At 46.6% G+C, this 18,774-nt stretch overlaps 1 protein-coding gene and 1 long non-coding RNA gene across 17 annotated transcripts in view, besides 2 other annotated features; one reads left to right on the top strand and one right to left on the bottom strand.

Moving 5' to 3' along the window:
• The window catches only part of SYT17 (synaptotagmin 17), a 100,499-nt gene that overhangs the window by 74,035 nt on the left and 7,690 nt on the right, over window positions 1-18,774 (bottom strand). For all 16 annotated transcript variants that reach the window (XM_047434203.1, XM_047434206.1, NM_001330509.2 and 13 more), the window contains 2 exons: window positions 13,759-13,907; window positions 10,151-10,770 (listed from right to left, as the gene is read on the bottom strand). In XM_047434203.1, the coding sequence (XP_047290159.1) occupies window positions 10,151-10,770; window positions 13,759-13,907 (769 nt within the window). The remainder of the gene's footprint in view (window positions 1-10,150; window positions 10,771-13,758; window positions 13,908-18,774) is intronic.
• Window positions 1,394-1,562: a silencer, noted in NCBI's record as "fragment chr16:19204058-19204226 (GRCh37/hg19 assembly coordinates)". NCBI's record gives its function as "represses an EF-1alpha promoter that drives an FKBP-Casp9 reporter gene in an ReSE screen in HepG2 liver carcinoma cells {active_cell/tissue: HepG2}" and the evidence as "EXISTENCE:reporter gene assay evidence [ECO:0000049][PMID:32094911]".
• Window positions 8,836-9,652: an enhancer, noted in NCBI's record as "H3K27ac-H3K4me1 hESC enhancer chr16:19195968-19196784 (GRCh37/hg19 assembly coordinates)". NCBI's record gives its function as "activates a minimal SCP1, AML or CMV promoter by ChIP-STARR-seq in naive H9 embryonic stem cells {active_cell/tissue: H9 hESC(naive)}" and the evidence as "EXISTENCE:reporter gene assay evidence [ECO:0000049][PMID:30033119]".
• Window positions 10,238-13,550, top strand: LOC124903658 (uncharacterized). The gene is made up of 2 exons (XR_007065012.1): window positions 10,238-10,835; window positions 12,852-13,550. It is a non-coding gene; the product is annotated as an uncharacterized LOC124903658 (long non-coding RNA).

Here is an 18,774-nt window from a genome sequence, read left to right as displayed (position 1 = left end):
GAGCATTGGCTGAATGGAGACAGCTATAGATTTTCTTTGTCATCCGTTCCCCCAAAAGCTCAGAGAGAGACATGGCTGCCAAGACAGTCACTTGCAAAGATTGGGCACCTCTATAAGAAGGGGGGACTGGCATCTTTTTCTTTACAGGTTTCCGCTTAGCCAATGTTCTTATTCATCTGCATTGCACCTTCCTGATCAGAGGAAAGGGGAAATGAAGAGAGATGGCAAGCAGGGAGAAGGTGAGGCATGGAAGATGCCGCATTCTGAGCCCTGAGGGTGGCAAGAGAAAGTGTAGCAACGCTAAAGGTGCCCACCACAGCACCTAGCCCCGACCAGAACAGACTTCGTTGACTGCCTACTGTCAGCCCCACATCTCTGCTTAGGTCTCTCGGCCAGTGGAGTCTTTCCTACTTGTGCCCACAAGGCAAGTTGGAGGTGCCCAGGGAATTAAGGACTTTTGGGAGCATCCTGCAACCCATGCCACATGGGAACTCGGTGAATAAATACCCCAGCTCCCTCACCCCTGGGGTAGGCTACACTGAGTTCCCCAGTATGATTAAGCTCTAGTTGCCCACAGTGGTGAGACACTTTATTGGTCTCATTTCCTCCCTTCTCTTCTGGTGTTTCTCAGCATCACTTCCTAAAGAAAATGCAAGCACTCAAATCTTTGTCTTTAGAGGAACCCAACCTAGGATAACAGATGACTTTCCCAGGTGTCAGCAGACACTGGAGAAGACAGCTTAGTTAGTGGCCACACGCACAGACTCTGCTTCCTAAGCCACAATGCTCTGAATTCTAGACATCAAAGGTCTAAAAGGCTTTCATTTGGGCAGTGCAAATCTCAGGTTGAAGCAATGTTCGGAAACATAAATATCCAGCATTCCAGTGTGCAAATATCACTTTTGACTAAACATATTTTCTTCTTCTAGGCCCAAATCAAACATTCCTCTTCAGTGGGCAATCTGGCTTTGTAATGTAAGATACTGCATCCTGACATGACTTAGAACTCTTCTACATGAATGCCTAAGAGCACTTTAACTTGAATCTACTCCTTCCCAGAACAGCTCCATAAAATATCATCTTAGTGGCAGCCCTGTATTGGGTGCACCCTGCACACCGGCCACTGAAGCAGCTGGGCACAGCACTTGCCACGCCAGCTTATGAAACCATCACAACATCCAACCCCTAAGTGGCAGAGCCAAGTTTTAGATGCAAGTCTGGGCAGGTCAAATGTCTGAACCCTTTCCACCTTCCACCTTTCACCTTTCACCTTCCACCAGCCACCCAGTGTTTCTCGGAACGAGGTCCAGAGTTTACCTACATTAGAATCTCCCAGCCCATTGGCTCAAGTGCAGATTCATGGGCCTCTCACCCAGGATGTGGGAAATCAGAATTAGGGAGGCTGAGGTCTGGAGGCTCCACAGTCACAGCTCCCACCTGATTCGGATGCTTGTTAAAGTAAGAGAACCATCACAGTAGTAGAAACCCACTTGACCACCCCCAACCGACCCCGCACTGTTTGATATTCCTTGTTTATAGTTTCCTCAAAGGCTGCTTCTGGGCATCAAAGCCTCTGCTTTCAAATTGCATCCTTTGTCACCGCCACCTTACACAGGGTCCAGATCATCACCACCTCTCACCTAAGAGACCACAGCAATTTTTCCTAACTGGCACCGGTACTTCTTGTCTTTTGCTCCTCAACGTTTTCTTATGAATGTTCTCTCTCTCCCTTTTTCCTGTAGAAACAGGATCTCTTCATGTTGCCCAGGCTGGTCTCGAACTCCTGGCCTCAAGCAGTCCTCCCACTTGGCTTCCCAAAGTGTTGGGATTTTAGGCATGAGCCACCACACCCAGTCTACATTTCTTTTTTTTTCTATGAGACAGGGTCTCGCTCTGCTGTCCAGACTGGAGTGCAGTGGTGCGATCTTGGCTCACTGCAGCCTCTGTCTCCCGGATTCAAGCGATTCTCATGCCTCAGCTTCCCGAGTAGCCAGGACTACAGGCATGCGCCACCACACCCAGCTAATTTTTGTACTAAAAAGTAGAGATGGGATTTCACCATGTTGGCCAGGCTGATTTCGAACTCCTGGCCTCAAGTGATCCTCCCTCCTAAGTCTCCCAAGGTGCTGGAATTACAGATGTGAGGCACCGTGCCTGGCCATGGCTTACACTCTCAACACTTTCAAATACAGAGAGGCTTAAAGAATTGTACAGTGCGGCCGCGCGGTGGCTCGCGCCTGTAATCCCAACACTTTGGGAGCCAAGATGGGCAGATCACGAGGTCAGAAGATTGAGACCATCCTGGCTAACATGGTGAAACCCCATCTCTACTAAAAATACAAAAAATTAACTGGGTGTGGTGGCGGGCGCCTGTAGTCCCAGCAACTTGAGAGGCTGGGGCAGGAGAATCACTTGAACCCGAGAGGCAGAGGTTGCAGTGAGCCGAGATCATGCCACTACACTCCAGTCTGGCGACAAAGTGAGACACAGTCTCAAAAACAAAAAAACAAAACAAAACAAAACAAAAGAACTGTACAGTGCACACTCTTAGATACATCCCCTAGATTCTGAAATGAACAGTTACTGATATTAACACTGCTGTAATTATATTTAAAATATGCTCTATTTGCTTCTTCCCTATCCATCTATCACTCTATCTTTTTTGAATGCATTTCAAAATAAGTGGCTGACATTGGTACACTTCCTCACTGTCTTAGTCCATTCAGGCTGCTGTAACAAAAATACTATCAACTGGGCGGCTTGAAAACAACAGAATTTATTTCTCACCCTTCTGGAGGCTGGGAAGTCCAAGATCAAGCCACCAGCTGATTTCATGTCTGCTGAGGACCATTCCTCATAGATGGGACCTTTTGGTTTTGCCCCACATGGAGGAAGGGGCAAGGCAACTCTCTGGAGCCTCTTTACAAGGGCGCTAATCTCATTGATAACAGCTCTGCCCTCATGGCCTAACCACCGCCCCAAAGGCCGTCTGAATACCATCCCCTCGGGGTTAGGATTTCAACATACGAATTTAGGAAAACTTCAGACCATGGCACCCATACACATTTCGGCATATCATTAACCAGAGTTCAGTGTTTGTTTATGGTGGGTTTTTTTTTTTAGATTAAACTTATATGCAGTGAAATGCACAAACTTTAGGAATACTGGATGAGCCTTGCCAAATGGATACAACTGTGTATCCTTCCTAATGCTCAGAAAGGTTCCCGCATGGCCACGGGGCATCTAATCTCTCCACTGCCCTTGTTCTTCCTTCCCCAAACCACATGAACTCAAGAGAAAATGAACCACCTACATCGTGGATATTTTTATGGCTTAAAAAAACACACACACAGTTGGTCAAAAAGCCATCTGCACACCCATGTTCATAGCAGTATTATTTATAATAGCCAAACGGTGGAGGCACCGTTGTCCATTGGGTGGAGGCAATCCAAGTGTCCATTAAAGGATGAATGAATCAACAAAATATGACACACACACACACACACACACACACACACACACACACACAGGAATATTATTCAGTTCAGCCTTAGAAAGGAAGGAAATTCTGACTCATGCTACAACACAGATGAACTTTGAAGACATTATCCTGAGTGAAACAAGCCAGCCACAGGAAAAATAATCTATGACTCTACTTATATGAGGTACCTAGAACTGTCAGATTCATAGAAAGTAGAATGATGGTTGTCAGGGGCTGCGGGGAGAGGGAGATGGGGAGTTATTGATTAATGGGTGTAGGGTTTCAGTTTTGCAAGAGTTCTGGAGAGGGATGGTGGTGATGGTTGCACAACAATGTGAATGTACTTAATGCCACTGAACTGTACAGGCAAAAATGGTTAAGACGGTAAATTTCATGGTGTGTGTATTTTCCCACAATTAAAACTAATAATTTTTTTTTAAATTTCGAGACGGAGTTTCACTCTTGCTGCCCAGGCCAGAGTGCAATGGCACGATATCAGCTCACTGCTATCTCCACCTCCCATGTTCAAGCATTTCTCCTGCCTCAGCCTTCCAAGTAGCTGGGATTATAGGTGCCCGCCACCACACCTCACTAATTTTTTGTATTTTTAGTAGAGACGGGGTTTCACCATGTTAGCTAATAATTTTTTAAAAGAGTTGAGCCTACACAGATTTCAATGGCTTTCAATCCATTCCAATGAGCAGAATTTCTCTAAATAGCCAGTGTAATTTCATGTCTATGTCAATCCCCTTGTCCTACTCACTGTATGGTCTTATTTTCATTATCTTCCAGCCAACCTTATCACTGAGACCCCAAAAATGCCATAGCTCCATTAGCTGCCAGTTTCCTGAATGCCAAGATCAAAGATGCAGTCAGGTAGGATGTTGCAAGACAGATGGGATGTTCTGCCCTGAACCAGGAGGTGCCTATATGCTGGCCCCATAAGCCACCCATTCATCTTCCACATGGGTTTTCCAAGAAGAAAGTATAACTAGACACTAAGCATTAGCTCAACTCCACACACCATTAGAATAGGCTAAAAGTAAGAAATTGAATAGCTTTGTCTTATATACCATTACACAACTGCCTCCTCTCCTTTCCATTCCACTGACCAACCAACCAATTTGGTGAAGGCAGATGTTAGCTTCTAACAAAAATCAGCAATCAGGGCAGCTATTCTGGCTCACGTCTTTAATCCCAGCACTTGAGGCCCCCAAGGCAGGAGGATCGCTTGAACCCAGTGGTTTAAGACCAACCTGGGCAAAATAATGAGACTCCATCTCTACAAAAAATAAAAAATTATCTGAGCATGTTGGTGTACACTTGTGGTACCACATGGTCCCAGCCACTTGAAAGGCTGAGGTAGGAGGATTGCTTGAGCCCAGGAGTTCAAGGCTGCATTGAGCCATGATTACACGACTGCAATCCAGCCTGGGTGACAGAGCAAGACCCTGTCTCAGAAAAAAAAAAAAAAAAAAGACAGGTTGAGGTCCTAACCCCCAGTATCTCAGAATGGGACCTTATTTGGAAATTGGGTCATTGTATATGTCGTTATTTAAATTAAGATGAGGTCACACTGGAGTAGGGTAAGTCCTAATTCAATATGACTGGTGTCCGGTGTCCTTATAAGAAGAGAAAAGACGTGGCTCACGCCTGTAATCCCAGCACTATGGGAGGCCGAGGCAGGTGGATCATGAGGTCAGGAGATTGAGAACATCCTGGCTAACACGGTGAAACCCCATCTCTACTAAAATTACGAAAAATTAGCCGGGCGTGGTGGTGGGCGCCTGTAGTCCCAGCAACTCGGGAGGCTGAGCCAGGAGAATGGCGTGAACCCGGGAGGCGGAGCTTGCAGTGAACCGAGATCGCACCACTGCACTCCAGCCTGGGCGACAGAGCAGCACTCATCTCAAAAAAAAAGAAGAGAAGAGACACAGACACACACAGGGCAAAAATGTCCATGTGACGTTAGAACAGGGATTAGAGCAATGCAGCTCCAGCTGAGGAATTCCAAGGACTGCCTGCAACCACCAGAAGCGAGGAAGGAGCAAGGAAGGCTTCCCCTCCAGGTTTCAGAGGGAACACGACTCTGCTAATGCCTTGATCTGGGACTCCTTGCCTCCAGGCCTGTGAGACAATAAATTTTTGTTGCTTTAAGCCACTCAATTTGTAGTACTCTGTTATGGCAGCCCTGGCAACAAATCTACATCCAAATCGCCATCTCTGGCTCTGCTTCTAGGGAACCCGGCCAAAGACAACCAGCTTGTTTCTTTCTTTCTTTTTTTTTTTTTTTTTTTTTTTTTGCAGAACTGAATTTTTTTTAACTTTTATTTTAAGTTCAGGAGTATAAGTGCAGGTTTGTTACATAGGTAAACTCGTGTCATGGCAGATTGTTGTATAGATTATTTCATCACCCAGGTATTAAGCCTAGTACCCATTAGTTGTTTTTCCTGATCCTCTCCCTCCTCCCACCCTCCATTCTGTGAAAGGCCCCACTGTGTGTTGTTCCCCTCTCTGTGTCCATGTGTTCTCAGCATTTAGCTCCCACTTACAAGTGAGAACACGGAGTATTTGGTTTTCCATTCCTGTGTTAGTTTGCTGAGGATAATGGCCTCCAGCTCCATCCATGTTCTTGCAAAGGACATGATCTTGTTCTTTTTCATGACTGCATAGTATTCCATGGTATATATGTACCACATTTTCTTTATCCAGTCTATCACTGATGGACATTTAGGTCGATTCCATGCCTTTGCTATTGTGAATAGTGCTGCAATGAACATAACGCATGCATGTGTCTTTATAATAGAACAATTTATATTCCTTTGGGTATATGCCCAGTAATGAGATTGCTGGGTGGAAAGGTATTTCTGTCTTTAGGTCTTTGAGGAATTGCGACACTGTCTTCCACTATGGCTGAACTAATTTACACTCCCACCAACAGTGTATAAGCGTTCCTTTTTCTCTATAACCTCACCAGCATCTGTTATTTTGGACTTTTTAATAGTAGCCATTCTGACTGGTATGAGATGGTATCTCATTGTAGTGTTGATTTGCATTTCTCTAATGATCAGTGATGAGCTCTTTTTCATATGATTGTTGGCAGCATGTAAGACAACCGGCTTTTCCACTCAAAGAGCATAATTTCCAGAGTAAGCATTAGCTGGGCAATAGGAGCATATTCTTCCCTCAGTCAGAGTCTCCAGTGCCTCTCTTTGTGTGAGCTTCTTGCCTCACTAGTATGAGTCTGGTATTCAAAGTGAAATACTCATATAGCATGACCTTCCTAGTGGATTCCATCATTTAAAACTTCTGCCTGAAATACATTTGCTCCCCAAATGTGAGCAAATACATCCTGATCCACTCCAACGGTGCAAGACCTGCTATATTGGAATTACTGAGAGATGGTACCTCAGTCTTCAATATGGTGCCCATTTTCAAGGCCAATTTTGATCATTCTTAATGAAACGAGTCTTGGCAGGGCTCAGTAGCTCATGCCAATAATCCCAGCAAACTTTAGGAGGCCGAGGTGAGAGGATCGCTTGAGACTAGGAGTTGGAGACCAGCCTAGGCAACATAGCGAAATCCCCATCTCTGCAAAATGTATTTTTTTAAAAACTAACCAGGTGCAGCGGCATACAACTGTAGTCCCAGCTACTCGGGAGGCTGAGGTGGGAGGATCTCTTGAGCCCAGGAGTTTGGGGCTGCAGTGAGCTGTGATTGCACCACTGCATTCCAGCCTGGGCGACTGAGCAAGACCCTGTTTCTAAAAATAAAAAATAATAATAATAATTTTAAAAAAGCAAATGAGTCCTGATTGCCCATTTATTACCGCATGCAGCACACTGCATCATGGCTTGCTGTTTACCAAACTGTCTTTCCCACTAGACTGGAAGTTTCCTGCTGCTAGGAATGGTATGGTATTCATTTTTATTAATCCAACTAGAAATGCCGGGCACATAATAGGACCTCAAGAGAAACAGAATGAAGAAATGAGCAGATCAGAGAAGAAAAAACAAAGAATAATAAAGAGGGGAGAAGAGAAGGAAAACAAATATCTTAAGGGTCCAGATGACGCTTCCAAAAACTATTTTGAACAGTACTAAGAAAACACTCATCATCATCAGGAATGAGAGACAGAAGGCATTTACAGCCAGGACTTGAGTCAAACCCACAATTAAAGGCATTAACAGCCACTACTTGGCTGATAATAGCACCAGCAAGGCTGGAAGCCCGAGTGTGACGGACCAGAGTATAAATCAGATGAGCAATTAGAGCAGTTGACCTGCCTGCAATATTTCAACTTTATACACACTTTTGTTATTTTATTTTTTTAGAGACAAGGCCTCACTCTATTGACCAGGCTGGAGTGCATCGGCGCAATCATAGCTCACTGCAGCCTCAAACTCCCGGGCTCGAGCAATCCTCCTGCCTCAGCCTCCCGAGTAGCTGGGACTACAGGCACATGCCACCATGCCTGGCTAATTTTTTTTTTTTTAATGTTTTGTAGAAATAGGGTGTCACTATGTTGCCCAGGCTGGTCTCGAACTGTTGGGCTCAAGCCATCCTCCCACCTCAACCTCCCAAAGTGCTGGGATTACAGGTGTGAGCCATTGCACTCAGCCCTATACACATGAATACTTTTAATTCATAGAGGCACTGAAAGGTCCCCATGAAACTAAGGCACGGCCTGCAGCTCTATCAAGGGTGAGGAGCCAGCCCTTGTCTGGGAGAAACCTGCTCCCGCAGTGACCTGAAACAGGCCCGGCTGTCCCTCTTCAAATGGAAAGGAGATGGCAGCCCCGAGATTAACTCAGCTGAGGAGACGCCAGCTCCTCTACCGCAAGAAGGCTCAGCATCAGGAGTGAACGGGAACACTCCCCGCCTCTTGTCTGCCCAATTAGATATTCACCAGGTGTGATTACCGCTTAGTGCACTGGAAGGCGACACATTACAGGCTCACTCTGAATGGGTTCACAATAGAAGACGTCGTCTCCTGACAACTGGGCCTGCCACTGTGGAGTGCTCGCCACCCGCCAGGCCCTCGCTGCGAGGTGGTGTTACTACCTCCACTTCACCTGAAGTGAGGTGAGGGAGCACAGGGGCCCAGCAACAGCTAGGCACTGGGAGGAAGGTTGCAGCTTGGACCCAAGGCCATTTTCTCTGCACGTCACCAAATGGCTCCCCATGGAAAGGCAACTTTTTTTTTTTTTTAAAGAGACAGGGTCTCACTCTGTCAACCAGGCTGGAGTGAGCTGGAGTGAGTGCAGTGGCTCGATCATAGCTCACTGCAGCCTCAAACTCTGGGCTCAAGAGATCCTCCTGCCTCAGCCTCCCAAGTAGCTAGAATTACAGATGTGCACTACCATGCCTAGCTAATTTTTAAATTGTTTTTTGTAGAGACGGGGTCTCACTGTGTTGCCCAGGCTGGTCTTGAACGCCTAGACTCAAGTGATTCTCCTGCCTCAGCCTCCCAAAGTGCTGGGATTACAGGCGTAAGCCACTGCGCCTGGCCTGGAAGGCAGCTCTTATTGACCTCATGGTGGCCAAAGCCCCCTCCCCTGTTTCTCCATCTCCCGTCCCTGTTCCTACAACAGCCATCCCACAGGACAGGGAGAGAAGGAAGGGAAGAGGGGAGGAGGGGAGGGAGGAAGGAGGGGAAGGAGGGAGAAAGGGAGGGAAGAGGGTAGCAGGGAAGGAAGGGAGGGAGGGAGTGAAGAGAGAAGCGGGAAGGGAGGGAAGGAGGAAGGAGTGGCTGGGTCTTTTCCTTTCCTTGGGCTCCCCACATCCTTCTACCTACAATGGGTAGACAGTTACCCTCTAATATGCAGGAATGCACAACAGCCGACTGGAGACACAGCCTGGTCCGTGGGTGGCTTCCCGAGCAGCCAACCACATTTCCCTGGGCTGGACAGGGGGAAGGAAGCCAATCTAACAGTTGGCCTGAAAAACATCCATGCATCATCCTGTTTTCCAGCCTTCACTTTTTCCCCAAAAAAATCAATTTCTGAAAGTCAAAATGATTGATAGCTTTATACCCTGTGCAATCATTCTCCTTATTAAATAACTCAGCATCGATGATTTAAAAAAGGCTTCCAGAGTGGTGGTGGTTACAGGAATCTATACATGTGATAAATTTTCACAGAAAGACACACACATGAGTGATGCATGTAAAAAGTAGTGAAATCTTGAGGTCAGGAGATCGAGACCATCCTGGATAACACGGAAAACCTCATCTCTACTAAAAAAAAAAAAAATACAAAAAAATTAGCAGGGCGTGGTGGCGGGCGCCTATAGTCCCAGCTACTCAGGAGGCTGAGGCAGGAGAATGGCGTGAACCTGGGAGGTGGAGTTTGCAGTGAGCCAAGATCACGCCACGGCGCTCCAGCCTGGGTGACAGAGCGTCTCAAAAAAAAAAAAAAACTACTGAAATCTGAGTAAGCTCTAGGTTAGTTACCAACATCTATTTCCTGGTTGCGTAAGATGCTATCATGCTGGATCAAGAGGACACAGGAACTCTCTGCTATTTTTGCAACCTCTTGTGAGTCAAAAATTATTTCAAAATAAAAAGTTTTAAAAATCCAAAAAAGCCTTTTAAACAGTAAAATAAAATAAAAATAATCACTTTTTAAAAAAGCTCCCAGGAGGAAACACCACAAACCCATCCCTTACCTGAGAACTGGGAATCAGCGCCTTCCACCAGTGCCCGCCCTTGACCAGGTCAACTTCACACAAAGGCACAGAAACTTTCCCAATGACACAGTGGCGGGAGAACTTATCAAAATCCACCACGGTCAGGAGCAGGGTCCTCCTCTGGGCCTCCAGGAAGGGGATCTCGAAGGTGTAGCGCTCCTCAAACACGGGCTTCTGGGTCTTGCGTTTGACCCCGGTCTGCTTTGAGTTCTTCTGGTCTGGCAGGAGACAGATCTTGACGTAGGGGTTGGAGTGCGCCATGTCCTGGCGCGAGCCATCGTGGGAGATGGGAGGTGGCAGGTCCCTGGCCTCGATCACGCGCACGGTGAGGTGGTTGTGCAGCAGGTCGTACTGAGTGCTGAAGTGCAGCATGCCCAGCTGGTACTTGGACAGGATCTCCTCGTCTGTCAGAGAGTCCACATCGTCGCTGTTGGAGTCGAGGGAGTACAGGTGGGGTTCGAACTTCCTGAAATAGTCGTCGGGGTTATAGGTCCGTCTGAGCACCGAAGGTTGGATGGGCTCCTTCTTGGCGCTGAGAACGCCAAACTCGATGGGTTTAATATCGATGAGTGGAGAGCTGGGACGTCTTGACTCAAGACCTGAGAGCCACCAGAAATAACAATGAAGACAGCCACATACGGGGCAGACCTGGGCCACTTTGCAGGTAAGCAGATTCTTGCATTGTTTACTCTGCTTCAGAATGACCTTTGCCATCTTTCTCCACACTCTGAAATACTCACTGATTCTGTGACAGATAGTTTGGTGGCACTATTGACACCTTGCCATCATCACAGCAGCTAAGTGCCAGGCACTGCTCTAATGGACTGTGTACACTACATCATCGCATATGTGCAATCACAATCTTCACATCCCCTTGAATTATTAGATAATTACTATTATCCCCACTTTATAGACGAGGAAACAGAAGCTTTAAGTAACTTTCTGAAGGTCACACACTTGCAAGTGTAGGAGCCAGGGGTCAGGCTGGTCTAGCTGACCCCAGAGTCTGGCTCTAACCATTATCCTACGATGTCTCCACTTTAAGAGAGTGAGCTCTGGGACCAGAGTGCCTGGGTGGAATTCCATCTCAGCCACTTACTCACTACTCGTGTACTCATTACCAGTGAGCCATGTGACTCCGGGCATATTCTTTTGACTCTCTGGGACTCTGTTTTCCCATCAGTAAAATAGAGTCAATAACGGCACCTACCTCAAAGAATGTGGTGAAGATTCACTGAGCCAGGGCATGAAAAGAGCATGGCACAGAATGTGCCCGTAGGCACAGACCAATAAATGGGAACGACTGTACTTCTTCAAGGTTCATATTCAAACCTCACCGCTTACGGGCCGCCTCTCTCCCTTCCATGAACCAGCAGAATGCATTGATCCCAAGTTCATTATTCCAACCTTTGCACATCCCTCTCTTCTAGCAATGAGCTCATGGCATTCTTGCTAATTGCCCAAACAGTTGTCTTTATGAGACATTTGCCAGAGGCATGGGAGGTACTCTGATAGATGTATGCTAAATGGAGATAACCTGTGTTCAGAGCTGGGCATGAGACTTAGAAATTACCTAGGCCCACACTGTCCATAGAAAGATAACGCAAGCCAGAAATGCAAGCCACACATGTAACTTAAAATGTTCTGGCAGCCACGACTTTTAAAATATGCAAATAAAAGGGCAAAATTCATTTAATTTTATTTATTTATTTTGAGACAGAGTCTTGCTCTATCGTCCAGGCTGGAGTGCAGTGGCGGATCTCGGCTCACTGCAACCTCCACCTTCCAGGTGCAAGTGAATCTCATGGCTCAGCCTCTCAAGTAGCTGGGACTACAGTTGTATACCACCACACCTGGCCCATTTTTGCATTTTTAATAGAGATGGAATTTCATCATGTTGGCCAGGATGGTCTTGAACTCCTGGCCTCAAGCTATCTGCCTGCCTCGGCCTCCCAAAGTGCTGGGATTACAGGCGTGAGCCACCGCGCCCAGCCTGCAAAATTAATTTTAATATTTTATTTTATTTAACCCACTATATCCAATGTATACTCATTTCAACATGGAACCAATATAAAAATATTTTAGTGAGATACTTTAAATCCTCTCTCTCTTTTTTTTTTTTTTTTTGAGACAGAGTTTCATTTTTGTTGCCTGAGCTGGAGTGTAGTGGTGCAATCTCGGCTCACTGCAACCTCCACCTCCCGGGTTCAACCGATTCTCCTGCCTCAGCCTCCCAGGTAGCTGGGATTACAGGCATGCGCTACCATGCCCGTCTAATTTTGTATTTTTAGTAGAGATGGGGTTTCACCATGTTAGCCAGGCTGGTCTCGAAGTCCTGACCTCAGGTGATCCTCCCGCCTCGGCCTCCCAAAGTGCTGGGATTACAGGCATGAGCCACCGCGCCCAGACTTTTTTTTTTTTTTTCCTCACTGTCCTGAAAGTCCAGTATGTATTTTGCACTTACAGAACATCAGTAAGATTCAGTCTCACACCATTTACGTGCTCAACAGCTACGTGTGTCTAGTGATTGTTATACCAGACAGCGCAGCTCTAGACCAGCCCTCTCATTTTACAAATGGGAAGACTGAGGCCTAAAGAAATCCAGTGCTCCCTCTGTTTCACTATTTCATGCCCTTGAACTCTTTTTTTTTCTACTTTTTTCTTTTCCCTCTATCCCCAGGAAAGGTTGGACACCAATGATCTCCACCTGAATGGATTTGTTTCATGCATTTGAAGCTTTTCCCTCTGTCTGGTGAATTTCAGACATCGGTTCACACAGAGCAGAGATACTTTTGTGGAGCAGAAGGAGGTTGGGAGCCTCTGGGTGTTTGTCCTCCTTTTTCCTCCTCACCCAAATCATGCTGTTTGGTCAAACACATACGCCACACAACAGAGTGGACAAATTGGGTGGTCAAATTTGATGGCCACACATACATTTTGTTTAGGCTTGAAAGTAAGAATGTTTCACATAAAAAAACCCAGATTGCCAATATCTCTTTACAAAGATCAGACAATACGGAGCCCCCAATCCCATACAGCTACCATTGGCCAGAGCTGAGTAGCAGACACCCTGGCCCCCTTTCAATGGGGCATTTGCTTTTCAATTGACCGAAGTCCCCACCCTGCCCTAGTAACTCTCCAGACAGAGCGGCAGCTGCCATTTGTCACTGCACTCAGGCAATGTTTATCTCTATGCAACCTCTGCACTTGGCCACTGATGCAACCCGCCTAGCTCCCAAAGTCACCAGAATTGACAAACCCTGCTATATAATATAGCCACACTCATCTTTCAGAATCTGAAATGATATACACTGACAATGTTAATCAATTCAGCCAATTCAATCAAACTTAAAATTAATAAAGCAAAAATCAATCAAAATGATTGCTTTTGATTAAACTCAGCAGCAATCAGGTGTGATGCCCTCCTCTGTCACACCGTCATTATCTCTCTCTCGCCCTGTCTCCTGGACTGTCATCCCACTCTGCCGCCCTCCCCCAGCAATAACACTGCCCTTCATGACTCTCCGTGGGAGAGTGTCTGGGAAAGCCAGCCAGGGCCCCCAGAAAGGTAAAGCAGAGATACTTACTCGAAATCCTCCGCGTCAGGCTGTATGTAGACTTGGATGTGTCTGAGGACGAGCGTCTTCCATCCGGGGAATTGGTCCGTGGGGTCAGCGGGACTTCGCTGGCCGTGTGGACAGAGTCACCATCCTTGTCACTGCTCCGGCTGGCCATCCTATAGGAAGGGAAGAGGTCTCAGTAGCTGTCCAGGAATCCCCGGGGACTGGCATCTCTGTCCCTTGGGGGTTAAGACCCACGATGAAACCGCTCTCAGACTCATTTTATGCAACATGGAATAATGCAAATTTGACAGTGTGGTGTCCTTAAACTCTCAACAACGTCTTGCTTTTTGCACAAAATGTGAAATGATATGAAGAAATATTCCCCAATTTAGAACAATCTGTCAAGAACTTGCATAATTTCAAAGCTGGGGTTGGGTGGAGAGCTGTGTAAAGTTAAGCTGTCGCCACGTGGGGGCGCCACTTTGGCTCAGTGAAGCCCGAGACCTGTCAATCTCCAGCCTGGAGTGAACCGTCTGGTTGTTTTATAGGCATCCGAACTTCTGCTTTTGGTTACAAGTGTCCTGGTATTTCAACAGTCACTGTGTCTATAATTTAAGATCTTTTAAAAATATCCTATAACAATGTCACTCAAGGGTTCTTTGCGCGGCAGAAATGGCCCTGAAAATCAACAATTTCTGAACAGAAGTTTGATGTAAAGAAATAGCTATAAATTAGCAGCAGCCGTGACTCAATGTGCTCCCAATAAAGAACTGCTGAGAAATTGGGAAGGAGGATGTAGGGGTGGATGGAGAAGGAAGACGATACAGGGTAGTCATTGAGAGAACCGCTGGGGCTGAACCCTGGCTGGGTGCTGGGGCAAGTCCCTTTCCCCTCCCGTACCTCCATTTCCCCATCTGTAAAGTGGAAATATTGACAGTACCCACATTATACGGTGGTTGTAAACACTGAATGAGTTAACACATATAAAATGCGTAGAGGCCGAGCATGGTGGCTCACACATATAATCCCAGCATTTTGGGAGGCCAAGGCAGGAGGATCCCTTGAGGCCAGGAGTTTGAGACCAGCCTGGGCAACACAGCAGGACCCATCTCTACTGAAAGTTGGCTGGGCATGGTGGCCCACAGCTGTAAACTTTGTGAAGAATGTAAACTTTGGGAAGCTAAGGCAGGAGGATCACTTGAGCTCGAAAGTTTGAGATCAGCCTGGGCAACATGGCAGAACTCTGTTTCTACAAAAAAATTTTTTAAATTAGCTGGGCATGGTGGTCTGTGTTTGTAGTCATAGTTACTTGGGAGGCTAAGGCGGGAGGACTGCTTGAGCCCAGGAGTTTGAGGCTGCAGTGGGCTATGATTGTGCCACTGTACTCCAGCCTGGGTGACACAGCAAGAGACCCTGTCTCAAAAATAAATAAAATGCTTAGAACAGTGCTTGGTTGCGTAGTAAACAGCTGCTCAATACATCTTGAAACATTTTTTATTGATTGATCGATCAATTCATTGTTTTTTTTTTTAAGAAACAGGGTCTCACTATGTTGCCCAGGCTGGACTCGAACTCCTGGGCTCAAAGTGATCCTCCCGCCCTCAGCCTCTTGAGTAGCTGGGACTATAGATGCATGCCTCCATGCCCAGCTTAGTTGATATTATTACAACTGGGGTGGCTTTAAGATCCCCCCCAATACTCATAAAGCTAGGTAAGGATGCTGGAGGGATGGGAAAGGAGGTAGAAAAACAGCTGGTGACGTCGTTTTGAGACTGATGCTGCTAATAACATGCCCCTAAGCCATAATGGCTGTAGATTTATGCCTTCCGAGGCTGCATACCCCCCAACTTGACATTAAAGCCTATGGGAAAACTCGTCTTGAAAAATGCAAGTTTTGAATGCTGTGAGGTCTTCAGACGCATCCTGTGCATGAGATGAGACTGATCTGATGTTCTTCAAAAGTGTTATCAGGAGCTAGGCATGGTGGCTCATGCCTGTAATCCCAGGACTTTGGGAGGCTGAGGTGGGTGGATCACTTGAGGTCAGGGGTTCGAGACCAACCCGGCCGACATGGCGAAACCCCATCTCTATTAAAAGTACAAAAATTAACCTGACGTGGTGGCATGCACTTGCAGTCCCAGCTACTTGGGAGGCTGAGGCATGAGAATCACTTGAAACTGGGCGGGCACGGTGGCTCACGTCTGTAATCCCAGCATTTTGGGAGGCTGAGGCGGGTGGATCACGAGGTCAGGACATCGAGACCATCCTAGCTAACACGGTGAAACCCCATCTCTACTAAAAAAAATACAAAAAATTAGCCGGGCGTGGTGGCGGACGCCTGTAGTCCCAGCTACTCGGGAGGCTGAGGCAAGAGAATGGCATGAACCCGGGAGGCAGAGCTTGCAGTGAGCGAGATTGCACCACTGCACTCCAGCCTGGGCGACAGAGCTAGACTCCGTCTCAAAAAAAAAAAAAGGAGAATCACTTGAACCTTACCCAGTCTTGGGTATCCCTTTATCACAACAGAAAACAAACTAATACAGGTTGGGAGAAGGATGAATAACTAATTTGCACCACTGTTAAAAGGCAGAACCCCAGCTAAGCCAGTAATGCTAAACTCTAAATGGCACACACTCCCAATCGCCAAGTGGGGCATCTCTGAGAGGGCTGTAAGAGCTCTGCACATTGTAGGCATTCAATATGTGCTTGTTCGACAAACAATCAACCAACTTGACTTTAATTCACTCTTCAATGAGGGTCTTTCTGGCATTGCTTCAAAAAGCACCAGTCAGATTGTGCAGTTTTCCTAATCTTCACCAGCCCAGCCCAGCCAAGAAAAGTTGGGGGCCCACAGGACATGAGCATATGTGACAATTAATGTATCCCCAAGATCACACGCAGAGCACACACAAAGGGCCAGCTCATCTGCCACATGCCAGTCCACAGAGGCAAGTCCCATGGTTCTTGGCTCAAATGTCGCAGTAGGAACAGCACTGCAAAGCCCATACACTTGACATTTCTACTTCCTGTCTGTTTGATAACATGCAGCTGCCCACTTGGTAAATAAATCTGGGGAAAACACAAAGCTGTAAATTTACTTTCTGAATGATTTAGCCATCTTCCCTTTACAGATTTCTCTTACCGTTTTGCATTATGCTGAGTGTCAAAACTGTATTAAGCACTGCCCAGTGTTCAGAAGAGACCTCATTCATCCTGGGAAGCACAAAGGTCACGCACAGCTGTTCAGTCTGTAGACTGCACAACCCTAGGTGGTGCCATTCATAATGGCCACCATGTGAATGGCGCCACCTGGAATTTTGTGGTGTATTGGCCCTGCTGGGAAAGTTCCAGTCCACTTCTCTACTAGTGGCAAAACCAAAAGAAGTATCTTCCCAGAGGGTCCCAGCCCCCTTGCCCCTGCTTACACAAAGGGTTAGCAGCAGTCAAGGCAAAACGCAACTGTCCTCCAGCTCAACATGAGAACCTAGGCTGTGCATCTGTAACACTCAACATTTGGATATCTAGGGGGCAAACAGGTACCTGGCTGTGATACTCAACACCTGTGAGGGGTCTCCGCTGGTATCGAAGAAAATCCAGATTCCTTACTCTGGCATTCAAGACCCAACTCAGCCTAAGCTTGCAGGCTCCCCCAGCTCTTCCTAGATGTAGTTGTGGCCTGAATCCTACAGGTGTGTGTGGAGTTGAGATTTTTGGTGAAAGCAACTCATTAATCAAGCGATAATTCACAGCCGGTTGCCGCGGCTCTCACCTGTAATCCCAGTGCTTTGGGAGGCTGAGGTGGGAGGACTGCTTGAGGTCAGGAGTTTAAGACCAGCCTGGGCAACACAATGAGACGCCTATCTCTACAAGGGGTGATGTCTGCCCACCTCTCTAGTCAATTTCCTCCCCTCTAGTCACAATACCCCAATTGTCTATTACAGGGGTCTGCAAACTACAAAGCCAAATTCACTGCCTGATTTTGTAAATGAAGTGTTAATGAAACACAGACGTGCCCGTTCATTTACTGTCTACAGCTGCTTCTGCATAACAATGGTAGAAATAAGTAGCTGCAACAGAGACCATATGGCCCATGAGGCTAATATATTTATTATTTGGTCCTTTAAAAGTTTGCCAACCCCTGGTCTAATAGTTCAGTTCCTGTGTTTCTGGTGGAAATGACCATCTCCCTGGTTTCCTGGGTGGGCAGGTAACTGGCATGATTCTAGCACCATTTCCTCCAAGTGAAAGTGATTGGTACATAACCCGAGCCAGGCTAATAAGAGTCTTTCCTGGTTTTGTTTTGTTTGTTTGTTCGTTTTTTATGCAACCGCAACAGAATGCAAGTCTAGTGCTGCCACATGGAGAAAACAAGCTTAACAATGAGGCCAATACAGAAGAAACAGAGAAAGAAAGAGAGAGAGAGAAAGGCTCTGATGACATGATTTCTGCTCCTGGATCCAGCTATGCCTGAAGCCATCATTCCTGATTCTTTCATAACAAGGTCTTATGCAGGACTGTCATATATGGAATGCAGGGTGTAAATGCACAACTCTAGGGGGCAACCTGACTTACATACCTGCCTTACCTCCTACGTGAGACTGAAAATTCCCTGAGCATGGTCACAGGACCCTATCTAGCCCTGTGTATACCACAGCGCCTGGCACACTGTACTTAAGAAATAACTACAAAAGGAACTGAGATTAACTTTTCAACTGATGATTGGCACTTTCAGGATGCAAGTTCTGCCTGCAGGATAGTCTGTCAGTCAACAACTTTTTCTGAGTGAACAAGGCAGGCAAAACTCCCTGCCCACATGGAGATAGCATTCTTGTGAGCATAGCTTTAAGGACATCAGATGGACTGAACTAACTTCTGCTACATAGACCAGTAGAATCCTTTTTTTTTTTTTTTTTTTTTTGAAGTCTTGCTCTGTTGCGCAAGCTGGACTGCAGTGGCGTGATTATAGCTCACTGCAGCCCTGACTTTCCAGGCTCAAACGATCCTTCCAACTCAGCCTCCCGAAGAACTGGAACTCTAGGC

Source organism: Homo sapiens, chromosome 16, assembly GCF_000001405.40.
Source record: "Homo sapiens chromosome 16, GRCh38.p14 Primary Assembly".
Classification (NCBI taxonomy): domain Eukaryota; kingdom Metazoa; phylum Chordata; class Mammalia; order Primates; family Hominidae; genus Homo; species Homo sapiens.
This window is presented reverse-complemented; position numbering and strand designations above follow the sequence as displayed.